Consider the following 12,838-nt stretch of genomic DNA (forward strand, 5'->3'; position numbering starts at 1 on the left):
ATAGAAATTGCAACAAAAAACATATTAGGTCATATTACAGGATATGAAAATTAAAAGCTTAGAACAGATTAGACACCAAAGAAGAAGTATAAAGGTGTACCAGTAGACCATCCAAAATAAAGCACAGAAAAGAAAATGAAAGTGTGAAAATGTTAGCAGAGCAGCATCGACCTATGTGATCTAACATATGTTTGAGTCCAGGAAAAATGGAAAAACAGAAAAAAAATGATAAATTAATGGACAAATTTTTTTCTAAATTCAATTAAAATGATAAGTCCAAGACTCAATGGTTTTAGCATACTCCTAGCATCATAGAGAAAAACCACACCACACTAGTTAACCACGTTGCAATAAAATTGCTGAAAACCAGTGGTAAAGGGAAAATCATAAAAGAAGCAAAAGAAAAAAGACACGTTGCATACGATGGAACAAAGTTAAGAATTACCATAGGCTTAAAATAAATTAAAAATATACCTCATTACAACTCCATGAACTAGATAATATATGCATTTTACAAATAAGAAAAATGATGTTTGAGCTACATAGTAAAATCCTGTTGATCTGAACAGTATTATTCAGCAATTCTATGTAACATTAGAGATTGTAATTGGAAGCACTCTATCACCTTAACTCCAAAGTTCACAACTACCATAATTTGATGAAGGTAATAAAAAAAATTACTACAGAGTTGATGTCAGAACCCTTGCATAGCTTGCTTGCCAGAAAATGATGGAGAGATATCTTTAAACTATCAAAAGAGAAAAATAAAGTCAACTTAGAATTCTCTATTATGCAAAAGTACCTTTTACAGCTGACTATGAGATAAAGACTTTTTTTAAATAAACAAGAGCTGAGAGAATTTATCTCTCCTAGACTGGAACTATAAGGAACAATAAAAGAAGTTCTTTGGCATAAGGAAAATTATACCCGACAGAAATTTGATCTACACAAAGAAATAAAGATTGCCAGATGTGCTATATGTGTTGGTGTATTAGTCTCTTCTCATGCTGCTAATAAAGATATGCCTGAGACTGGGTAATTTATAAAGCAAAGGGGTTTAATGGAATCACAGCTTCACATGGCTGCGGAGGCCTCACAATCATGGCAGAAGTCAAAGGAGAAGCAAAGGCACGTCTTACATGGCAGCAGGTAAAAGGGCATGTGCAGGGGAACTCGCCTTTATAAAACCACCAGATCTCATGAGACTTATTCACTATCACGAAACAGCACAGGAAAAACCCACCCCCCATGATTCAATTACATCCCACTGGTTCCGCCCACAACACTTGGGGATTATTACAATTCACAGTGAGATTTGGGTGGGGACACAGAGCCAAACCATATCAGTGGGTAAAGAGAAAACACATTTTTCCCCCAAAATATCAATTATTTGTTTATCTAACATTACTTCCACAGCTAACACTCTGCTAGCCCTCTGCACCAAACCACCATCATCTCCCAATTTTTTTATCTCAATTTCTGCACGAGCCTTCTAACTGTTCTCCCTGCCCTGACTCCAAGACAGTCTATTCTCAACACAGTAGCCAGGCTTTTAAAATATATTTTGCAGATTACCTCACCCCTTTGCTCAGATTCCTCCAATGGCTACTCAGCTTGTTTTTAGTAAAATACGAAGTCTTCACAATACCTATAAGGCCTTGTAACATTGACTTTCCCATTATTCCCCTCCTTATCTCTAAGATCTTGTGTTGGAGTACCAGCCCATTCATTGATTCTATCTAGCAACCCTGGCCTCTTTGCCTAGTCTTTGACACCAGACATTGTTCTACCTCAGGGTCTTTACCCTTATTCTTCTCTGTACCAAAACACACTCCTCCAGGATATCCACATAGCCACTCCCTAATCTCCCTTGTTTTTTGTACAGTGGCACCTCAGGAAAGCCTTCCCTATCCATATTTTAAAATCACACATCCCCAACCCCAAGATTTCCTCTCCTTCTTCCATGTTACATTTTTAATATAGCATGTATTATCATCTGTCATACTCTATATTTTCTCATTCTGTGTACTGTCTATATCTTTTACCAAAATGGAAGCTGCATAATGATTCAGATGTATTCACTATGAAACTTTTTTTGACTTCTCCCAGTACAGTTGATCCCCCCTTCAGCTTCCCATTCAGACCACAGTGCATGAGAATTCCAACTGATTACGTTCTTGCTAATACTTGGTATTGTCAGCCTTTTTCTCTGGTCATTTTGGTGGTGGGGGAGGATTAACTCCCCAAAAGATGGAAGGTGTTGTTTCTGGGAAAAGGAATATATGCTATGGAACAAAAAGCACCAAATACTACACATGATTTCAGGGGAAATACCACTGTTCACAGAACTTACAAAAGTAAAACTATAAAATGAGCTCAATTCCATTCCAAACATCTCTAGGTTAAGCATTCAGCTGAAGGGCAAATAGATAAAAAGGTAGAATATTTCAATGAATTTATGACATGCGCTGAATTATTTCTCTTGTTCTTCAGTAAGCACTGACAGCGGGTCCTTGTCAGGCAGATCGTTGTTGATTTCATACTTTTGACAAGGCTGAGAGATTTTAGAGTCCAATTATTTAAATTGTTGTTGAATTCACTAGAGCAAATTTTAACTAGCAACTTGTGTGGAGAACTCTATGTATCTTTTTGATGTTATTGAAGTAAAATTTAAATACAGAAAGTGGCACATATCATAAAGCTCAATGAATATTCATAAATTGAATACGCCAATGTAAACCTTGCCCAGATCCAAAAGCAAAACATGGCAAACATTTAAGTCTCCTTTATGTTCTCTTCTACTCGCTATCCATCCTCGCTGATAACCACTATTCAGACTTCCTCCTGATTAGTTTTGCCTATTTTTCCATTTTCTCTAAATTCAATCAAATTATGTTTTACTGTTGGTGTCAGGTTTCTTTTGCTCAATGATTGTATTTGTGACATGCGTTCGTGTTGTTGATTGTAGTTGTAGACTGCTTATTCTCATTGTTTTGTAGTATTCAATAGTTCCTTTCTGTGTTCTACTATTAGAGGGCATTTGAGTATTTACAGTTTTGGGCAATTTTACTGCTACTAACATTCTAGTGCATGTTTTTTGGTGAACAAATACATACACAATTCTTTAAAATATATATCAAAGAATAGAATTGCCAGCATATGGATCCACCTGTACTTAACTTTGGAAGATACTGTCAATGTTCTAATTTTATTTCTTATTACAAATAGTGCATTTGATTGGACAAAGTGTTTTACTATATGGTTATTGCAAGGATGTAAGTAAGCTGCTAATATATGCAAATTTATCTTTAAACTATACACCATAAGAAACTCTTTTATTAGTTTTTTTTCCCTCGGGGAATTCTGTACTGTCTATTGTCCAATATTTGTTTCATATATTATTTCCAGTTTTCTAGCTGTTTATAGTAGGGGAGCAAAAACAGGCAATCTACTAAAGCTAGAAATCAGTCCCTTTCTTTATTTTGTCTTTATTTTCTCTCAAAATGTTTTAAAGCTTTCTATGTAGGGTTCTCGTATGGAATGTATTTATTCCTAGATATTTTATGGTTTTTAATGTTGTTGTAAATTGTATCTTTTAAAATATTTTCTTTTATATTTTGCTGCCATATAAAAATAGATTGATTTTAAAATATTAACCTGATCTCCAGCAACCTTGTTGAATTTGGTTATTAATTTTAATGATATATCTGAAGATTATTTTTTATTGTCTCAGTGTGCAGTCATGTTGTGTTCAAATAATGACATTTTTATTTCTTCATTTCCAATCCTTTGTTTCTTGTTTCTTTTCTTGCACTATTATGGTGACTAGAATATCAAGTATAATGTTATATAGAATTGGCATTGAATAGTGAGAATTCTTGTCTCATTACTACTCTCAGGGGAAAGCATTGGATATTTCATTGTTAAAATGTTTTCACTAAGTGTTTAAATGGGTAGACATTATTTAGAAAATTAAGGAAGTTTCCTTGTATTCCTTGTTTGTTAAGAGTTTACCATAAAGAGGGCTGATTTTTTTCAATGCTTTTTCCGCATCAATTTTTATTCTTCATTTCTCTTAATGTTTTCTATCAAATGATTTACTTTTAAATGCTAAAATACATTTGCAAACCTAAAATAAACCACACTTGTGGTGTGACAGCATCCACTTTATACAATTCAAGTTGCTTATTTTTCAGGAACTTTTTCATGTATATTCTTGAGAAATATTAATCTGTAATATTTCTGCCTTGTAATGTCAATGAAGACTTTGGAATCAAAGTTGGTGGTTTTTGCTTTTAAGAAAGAATTAGAAATCATCCCTCTTTTGTCTACCCTTCGGAAAAACCTACACCTGACTGATGTGGTTTATAAGAGTCTGATAGTAAAGCCATATGGAACTGGCTTTTTACCAGCCCCTTGCCGGAAAGGTTTCAGTAAGAGATTTACCTTCTTTAATAACTGTAGAAGTACTTGGATTTTTAAATTTGTTTAGCTTTGTAAAACGTAGTTTTTGAGAAATTTATCTATTCAATTCAAATAGTCCATTCATGTCTAAAGTTATCTCTAATATTGCCTTATCTTTTTAAAATCTGTACAACAAATACTTCTGTTGCTTTTGCAATATTAACATTGGTTATTTGCAATTTGGGGGGTTGTCAATATGAGATATATTTTTAAAGATCGAATTTTTGCTTTCTTTAATTTTCTATATTGTGTTTTGTATTTCATCAGTTTGGTTTTACTTTTATGTCTTTTAGTCTAATTTCTTTGGGCAATATTTGCTCTGTCCTATTTCTAGATTCTCAAGCTAGAAGTCTAAATTAATGATTTTCAGTCTTTCTTCTTTTCTAATATATGTATTGAGGCTACAAAGTTTCCACTAAGTTATGATATGAAAATATCATATCTTCAATTCCTTTTCCTTAAAAATATTTTTTAAATTTCTACTCTGAATTCTTTTTTTAAAACCAATGGGCTATTTAAAAGTCATTGCTAATTTCCAGGCAGTTGGATTTTCCTAGTTATCTTTTTCTTATTGAATTTTAGCTTATTCCCCTGTGGTCACAGAATATACTCTCCGATCTTCTACATTTACTTAAGTTCTTTTGTTTGTATTTTTTTAATAGCACAGCCTATGGTATGTTCCATGTATAAATGAAAATAATGTAATTGTGGTTAATAGAAACAGTACTCTGTTGCCCTAAATATCAATTTGATTGAGTTTATAATTATTCTCTGCAGATCTTCTAAATCCTTATTGATTATCTGCTTGTTGTACCAGCAATAGAGAGAAGTAGGCCGAAGTCTTCACTAGGTTTTGGATTTATCTATTACTTGTTTTAGTTCTGTTAAACTTTATGTTTTATGTTGTGAAGCTATTAAGGACAAACAAATTCAGTGGTTATATATCCTATTACATTGGGCCTCTCGATATTATGAAATGACTTTATTCCTAGCAATGTTTAAAGTATACATTGTTGTTGCCATAGCTACCTCAGCCTTTTCATAATTAGTGTTTCTGTAACATATATTTTCTCCTCTTTTTAGTTTCAACTTTCTGTGTCTCTTGAGAGATTCATAGAAGTGTTTTTGTCTTGTTTTTAATTCAATCTGGTTATCCTAGTCCTTTAATTGAAGTGTTTAGTTCATTTATATTAAATATAATTACAGAGATAATTGGGTTATATTTTTCTCTTTCATATATTTAACTAATAAAGTTTGTGTTTTCTTATTATTTCATTTTTTCTTCCAAGAACATGTTGGTGATATTCTATTAGTGGTTATTTAGAGACTAAAATATGCATCCTTGACTCTAAAATTTTATACAAATTATAACATTGAAAACTTTTAGGACCTTAGAACCCTTTAAACCCATTTACTCCCTCTCACCTATTGTATCATCTTTCTTGCATTTTAGTTCTATATATATTTTAGACAACATAATGCATTGCAAATATCATTTTATTTAATCAGTATTCCCTTTTTTACCTACTCATGTACTTTTCCTGATGCATTTTTTTCTTGTGGCAGTTTTCTACCACAGTTGAGATAATTTTCCTCACAAATCTAAGAACTTAAGCCTTAAAAGCTCTCTCTAGTATTTCTTGTAGTGCAGATTTTCTGTCAACCAATTATCTTAGCTTTTGCTTTGCTGAAAATGTCTTTACTCGCCTTTATTTTTGGAAGATATTTTCATTTGATATAGAATTGTAGGTGACAATGTGGGATTTTTTTTTTTCCCTGGAAGCATCATAAAATTGTCTTTCATTGTCTTTTGACTCCCACGGCTTTAGTTGACAAATCAGCTGTACATTCCACAATTGCCCCAATGAAGGCATTCTGACTAATTCCTTTGGCTGCTTTGAAAAATGTCTGTAGTTTCTAGCAGTTTTACCACAATGTTCCTAGTGTGATTTTCTTTATATTAATTTTCTTCTTCAGTTTCATCAAACTTTTTGCATCTTTAGACTGATACTTTTCAACAACTTTGGAAAATTTTAGGCCATTCTCTCTTTATTTTACTATTATTTTGTTCTTCTATGTCTCATCTTGCATTTAACCTATCCAGCAAGTTCTTAATTTCAGATATTGTACTTTTCAGTTCTAGAATATATATTTGATTTTTTCAAAAACAATTCCAATTTTATTTTAATTATTTTTTCATCTTTTTCTTTATACAGTAATCATAGTTGTTTCAAATTACCTTACTGAGAACTTCAATATCTAGATCATCTGTGAGTCTGTTTCTATTGAATGTTTTTTCACATCTTCATTAGTCATATTTTTCACCTTTTTGTATGTACAGTAATTTTTGACTGTGTATAAAAGAACTAGGCACTGTGTATTAAAAAACTACAGAGGGTCTTCATGGTTTTATATTTCAAAAAGAACATCCTATTTTCTCTGTTGGAGAGATAGGGTGAGTGACTAATTTTAATACATGTAGACGTTCTGCTTGTCTAGGGCTGGGCTTCAGTTTTGTTGAGACTTTGCTTACCTCTCTTTACCTCCATTTCTAAAGTGTGACACTGCTGGACTTTTGACTGAGGTCCTGGCAGATCTTCTCATTTCCAAAAGACCATAGGAGATTTAACTTTGTGCTTCAAAGACTCTCAGCCCAGATCTCCAGCTTTACTCCTTCAAAATATGGTAAAATTCTTTATAAGGAGACAAGTCGTGTGCTTGAGACAGCCTACATAGTCTTGCAGGCTGGTCTTTTTTTTCTTTCTTTTCTTTTTTTTCCTGTAAGCATGGCAAGTCTGTAACTCTGCCTTTAGAAGCTTTCAGTATAGTTTTGCAGGCTCCTGTGCAAATTTCCAATGAGAAATTTAACGTTTTAAAAATTAGCTTCTCAAAATTGCTAGTTTTAAAATTATGTATCTTTCCTCTATCTGGGCCAACCTAGATCCTTAGCCAGTAACAGAATTTTCAAATTCTCAAAAAAAAAAAAAAAGAAAGAGATAAAACAGGTAGCCATGTCAGTTTACCTCAAAGGATTATTTTCTTTCCTCATAAAAATTTAATTCATCTAATTCTCATTTTCTCCACAGAAATCTGATATCTTTAAAAGATACTTCTGAAACTAATTTCCCAGATTTTAAAATTTGTTACAGCAAGAACATTGGCTTGTTGTGCACAACTACATGTTGTTTGGAAGTGGATATCTCTTTGTAACTTCTACATGTTCAAATATGATGTGCTAAAAAGAGGAACTTGGGACAATTTCTGTAGAAAACATGTTTTCTCTAGAAATACACAAGGCACAATCAATCCTAGAACCCAGCAAAGTAATTTCTTAAACCCTAAAATAATCTCCTCTATTTACTTATTAGTACTCAAAGTTTCACCATTTGAGATTTTTTTTTAAATATGAATTGTTGTCTTTGTTAAACTGCAATGGGCAACACTCACATTATGCCCATATGCCATAGTATGAATTAACTTAATTTTATTGAAAGCAAATATAGGAAAAAGGCAGATTAGAAATGATCTGAAGACACAAAGTACCTGGGGAAGAGAGTGAGAAGGGATATAAAGGAAGAAGAAAAAAATAAAAACAAGAAATTTGCTGCCAGTTACCAAATCAACCAAGTGTCATACAGATTTCCTCTCTTCATGATCAGTAGGCATTGGGTAAGCACTAGTGATTCAGATCTTATAATAGTTGCATTTGGTGTTTATTAAGTACTGCTCGCTCTTGTAAGTGCTTCTATTATTGTATAGTTTCTAACATTGATTTATATTTTACTTGACAATAATTGTATATATTGATGGTGCACAATATGTTATTTTGAAATATGTATACACTGTAGAATGGCTAATTGAACTAATTAACAGATGCATTCCCTCAAATACTTATTGTTTTTGACATTTAAAAAATTATTTATTTATTTATTTATTTTTCCATAAGTTATTGGGGTATAGTTGGTATTTGGTTACATGGGTAAGTTCTTTAGTGGTGATTTGTGAGATTTTGGTGCACCTATCTCCCGAGCTGTATACACTGCACCATATTTGTAGTCTTTTATCCCTTGTCCCCAACCCACTCTTCCTCCCAAGTCCCCAAAGTCCATGTATCATTTTTATTCCTTTGCATCCTCACAGCTTAGCTCCCACATATCAGTGAGAACATACAACATTTGGTTTTCCATTCCTGAGTTACTTCACTTAGAATAATAGTCTCCAGTTTCATCCAGGTCACTGCAAATGCTGTTAATTCATCCATCATATATATATATTCGTGATGGAATACTACACAGCCATAAAAAGGAATAATATATATATTATGGAATAGTATACAGCCATAAAAAGGAATGAATATATATATATATATATATATATATATATATATATATATATATATATATATATTTCATTTATCTTTTGTATTTTTTTGTTGGTTTGTTTGCTTTTTCAATTTCATTTAGTTCTGCTCTGATCTTGATTATTTCCTTTCTTCTGCTGTATTTGGGTTTGGTTTGTTCTTCTCTAGTTCCTTGAGGTGTGACTTTAGATTGTTTGTTTGTGCTCTTTCAGACTTTTTGATGTATATATTTAGGGCTATGAACTTTCTTCTTAGCACCATCTTAGCTGTATCCCAGAGGTTTTGATAGGTTGTGTCATTATTGTCATTCAGTTTGAATAATTTTTAAATTTCCATCTTGATTTCATTTTTGACCCAATGCTCATTCAGGAGCAGGTTATTTAATTTCCACATATTTGTGTGGCTTTGAAGGTTCCTTTTGGAGTTGATTTCCAGTTTTATTCCACTGTGGTCTGAGAGAGTGTTTGATATAATTTCAATTTTCTTAAATTTATTGAGGCTTATTTTATGGCCTATTAGATGGTCTATCTTGGAGAAAGTTCCATGCACTGTTGAATAGAATGTGTATCTGTGGATGTTGGATGAATTGTTCTGTATATATTTATATTTGTTAAGTCCATTTGTTCCAAGGCATAGTTTAAATCCATTGTTTCTTTGTTGACTTTCTGTCTTCATGACCTATCTACTGCTGTCAGTGGAGTATTGAAGTCCCCCACTATTAATGTGTTGTGGTCTATCTCATTTCTTTGGTCTACTAGTAATTGTCTTGTAATTTTGAGAACTCCAGTGTTAGGTTTATATATGTTTAGAATTGTGACATTTTCCTGATAGACAAGGCCTTTTACCATTATATAATGTCCCTCTTTTTCTCTTTTAACTGCTCTTGCTTTAAAGTTTGTTTGGTCTGATATAAGAATAGTTACCCTGCTCACTTTTGGTGTCCATTTGCATGAAATGCCTTTTTCCACCCCTTTACTTTAAGTTTATGTGAGTCCTTATGTGTTAGGTGAGTCTCCTGAAGGCAGCAGATAGTTGGTTGGTGAGTTCTCATCCATTCTGTGGTTCTGTAACTTTTAAGTGGAGCATTTAGGCCATTTACATTCAATGTTAGTATTGAAGTGTGAGGTACCCTTGCATTCATCATGCTCTTTTTTGCCTTTTTTTAATCATGTTTTTTTTGTTTTTTGCTTTTGCTTTTTAACTTGTATTTTTATCTTATAGATCCTATGTGATTTAGGCTTTAAAAGGTTTTGTCTTGATGTATTTCCAAGATTTGTTTCAAGATTTAGAGCTCCTTTTAGCAGTTCTCATAGTGGTGGCTTGGTAATGGCAAATTCTCTCAGCATTTGTTTGTCTGAAAATGACTGTATCTTTCCTTCATATATGATGCTTAGTTTTGTTGGATACAAAATTCTTGGCTGATAAATGTTTTGTTTGAGGAAGCTGAATATAGGGCCCCAGTCCCTTTTAGCTTATAGGGATCTGCTGAGAAATCTGCTGTTGATCTGATGGGTTTTCCTTTATTGGTTACCTGGTGCTTCTGTCTCACAGCTCTTAGGATTCTTTCCTTCGTCTTAACTTTAGATAACCTGATGACAATGTGCCTAGGCAAAGATCTTTTTGCGATGAATTTCACAGGTATCCTTTGTGCTTCTTGAATTTGGATGTCTAGGTCTAGAGCAAGGCTGGGGAAGTTTTCCTTGATTATTCTCCCAAATATGTTTTCCAGGCTTTTAGAATGGTCTTCTTCCTCAGGAACACTGATTATTATAACATAATCCCAGACTTCTTGGAAGCTTTGTTCATATTTTCTTATTCTTTTTTCTTTGTCTTTGTTGGATTGGATGAATTCAAAGACCTTGTCTTTGAGCTCCAAATTTTTTCTTCTACTTGTTCAATTCTATTGCTTAGACTTTCTAGAGCATTTCGCATTTCTAAAAGTGTATCTAAAGTTTCTAGAATTTTTTATTGTTTTTTCTTTAAGCTATCTATTTCCTTCAATATTTCTCCCTTCACTTCTTGTATCATTTTTTGGGTTTCCTTGCACTGGGCTTCGCCTTTCTCTTGTCCCTCCCTGATTAGCTTAATAACTAACCCCCTGAATTCTTTTTCAGGTAAATCAGGGATTTCTTTTTGGTGTAGATCCACTGCTGGTGAACTAGTTTCATTTTGGGGGGGTGTTTAAGAACCTTGGTTTGTCATATTACCAGAATTGGTTTTCTGGTTCCTTCTCATTTGGGTAGGCTGTGTCAGAGGAAATGTCTAGAGCTGAAGGCTGTTGTTCAGATTCTTTTGTCCCACGGGGTGTTCCCTTGATGTAGTGCCCTCCCCATTTTCCTGTGGTTGTGGCTTCCTGTGAGCCAAACTGCAGTGATGGTTGTCTCTCTTCTTGGTCTAGCCACCCAGAGAATCCACTCGGCTCTGGGATGGTACTGGGTGTTGTCTGCACAGAGTCCTGTGATGTGAACACGCACAGGTCTCTCAGTCACGGCTACCAGCACCTGTTCCAGTGGAGGTGGCAGAGGGTGCAATGGACTCTGTGAGGGTCCTTAGCTTTGGTGGTTTAACGCTCTATTTTTGTGCTGGTTGGCCTCCTGCCAGGAGGTGGCACTTTCTAGAAAGCATTAGCTGTAGTATCGTGGAAAGGGACCAGCGGTGGGCATGGCCCTAGAACTCCCAGGATTATATGCCCTTTGTCTTCCACTACCATGGAGGATAGGGAAGGACCATCAGGTGGGAGCGGGGCTAGGTATGTCTGACCTCAGACTCTCCTTGGGCGGGTCTTGCTACAGTTGCTATGGGTATGGGAGTGAGATTCCCAGGTCACTGGAGTTGTGTCCCTGGGAGGATTATGGCTGCCTCTGCTGAGTCATGCAGGTTGTCAGGGAAGTGGGGGAAAGCTGGCAGTCACAGGACTCACCCAGCATCCAAGCAAACTGAAGGGCTGGTCTCACTCCCACCATGCCTCCCGCAACAGCCCCGAGTCTGTTTCCAGGTGGAAGGTGAGAAGGTCTTGAAAACTTGCCTGAGGCTTTATGCCTCCCAGAGTATTTGGAGTGTCTCCCAGGTCCTGCAGGAGCAGTCTGCTTCCTTCAGAGGGTCTGTTGGTCCTGTCAGGGTAGCTAGTTTGTTCTTGCAGTCAATCTGGAGGTGTCCAATAACTCTGTTTCAGCTACTCCACAGACCATCCATAATGGGATCTGAGCAGCCAGTTCTAGCTGTTGAAAGTCTGGGATCAAGATGTTAGCAGAGGGGTTTCACCTGAGGTCTCTCTCCTTGGCTTGCAGATGGTCATGTTCTCTCTGGGCCTTTACATGATCTTCCCTCTGTCTTTTATTTTTTCGTGTGACAGAGTCTCACTCTGTCTCCCAGGCTAGAGTGCAGTGGCGTGACCTCGGCTCACTGCAACCTCTGCCTCCCTGGGTTCAAGTGATTCTCCTGTCTCAACCTCCCAAGTAGCTGGGGATTACAGGCACACACCACCATGCTTGGCTAATTTTTGTATTTTTAGTAGAGACGGGGTTCTGCCATGTTGGCCAGGCTGGTCTTGAGCTCGTGGCCTCAGGTGATCCACCCGCCTTGGCCTCCCAAAGTGCTGGGATTACAGGTGTGAACCACTGAGCCCAGCCTATTTTTGTATAAATGCTATAGACAAGAAAACTGTAGCAGAAAGTTTGACTTTTCAAAGATGACATGGCAAGAAAGAAATATATCTAGGTGTTTAAAACAGAGATACATTAGAACTGGAATAGGGCAGCTTTTTGCTTCTTTTTGGGGATGCATGGAAGTCCAATACTGACTTCTGCCCCACAATAAGGGGAGGGAGGGAGCTAGCTAATAATTTATTATGTGCTATTTAATTTTAAAATTGTCCTGGTGGCACCCATAGTCAATTTGTTTATATTGTTTATGGATGAAGAGACTGATGAATTATACCCAATTCAACTTGGGTTAAATATAACAATTTCTTGGTAGTCCATTATCTAGAGGTGAAATACATTTGCCACAACTAAG

The 12,838-nt window shown here is 35.2% G+C and overlaps 1 annotated feature.

The window, feature by feature from the left end:
• Positions 11,099-12,298: an enhancer, noted in NCBI's record as "MED14-independent group 3 enhancer chr11:106448190-106449389 (GRCh37/hg19 assembly coordinates)". NCBI's record gives its function as "activates an origin of replication core promoter dependent on BRD2, BRD4, P300/CBP and CDK7 cofactors, and independent of MED14, by STARR-seq in HCT116 cells {active_cell/tissue: HCT116}" and the evidence as "EXISTENCE:reporter gene assay evidence [ECO:0000049][PMID:35650434]".

This window comes from Homo sapiens, chromosome 11 (genome assembly GCF_000001405.40).
Source record: "Homo sapiens chromosome 11, GRCh38.p14 Primary Assembly".
Lineage (NCBI taxonomy): Eukaryota > Metazoa > Chordata > Mammalia > Primates > Hominidae > Homo > Homo sapiens.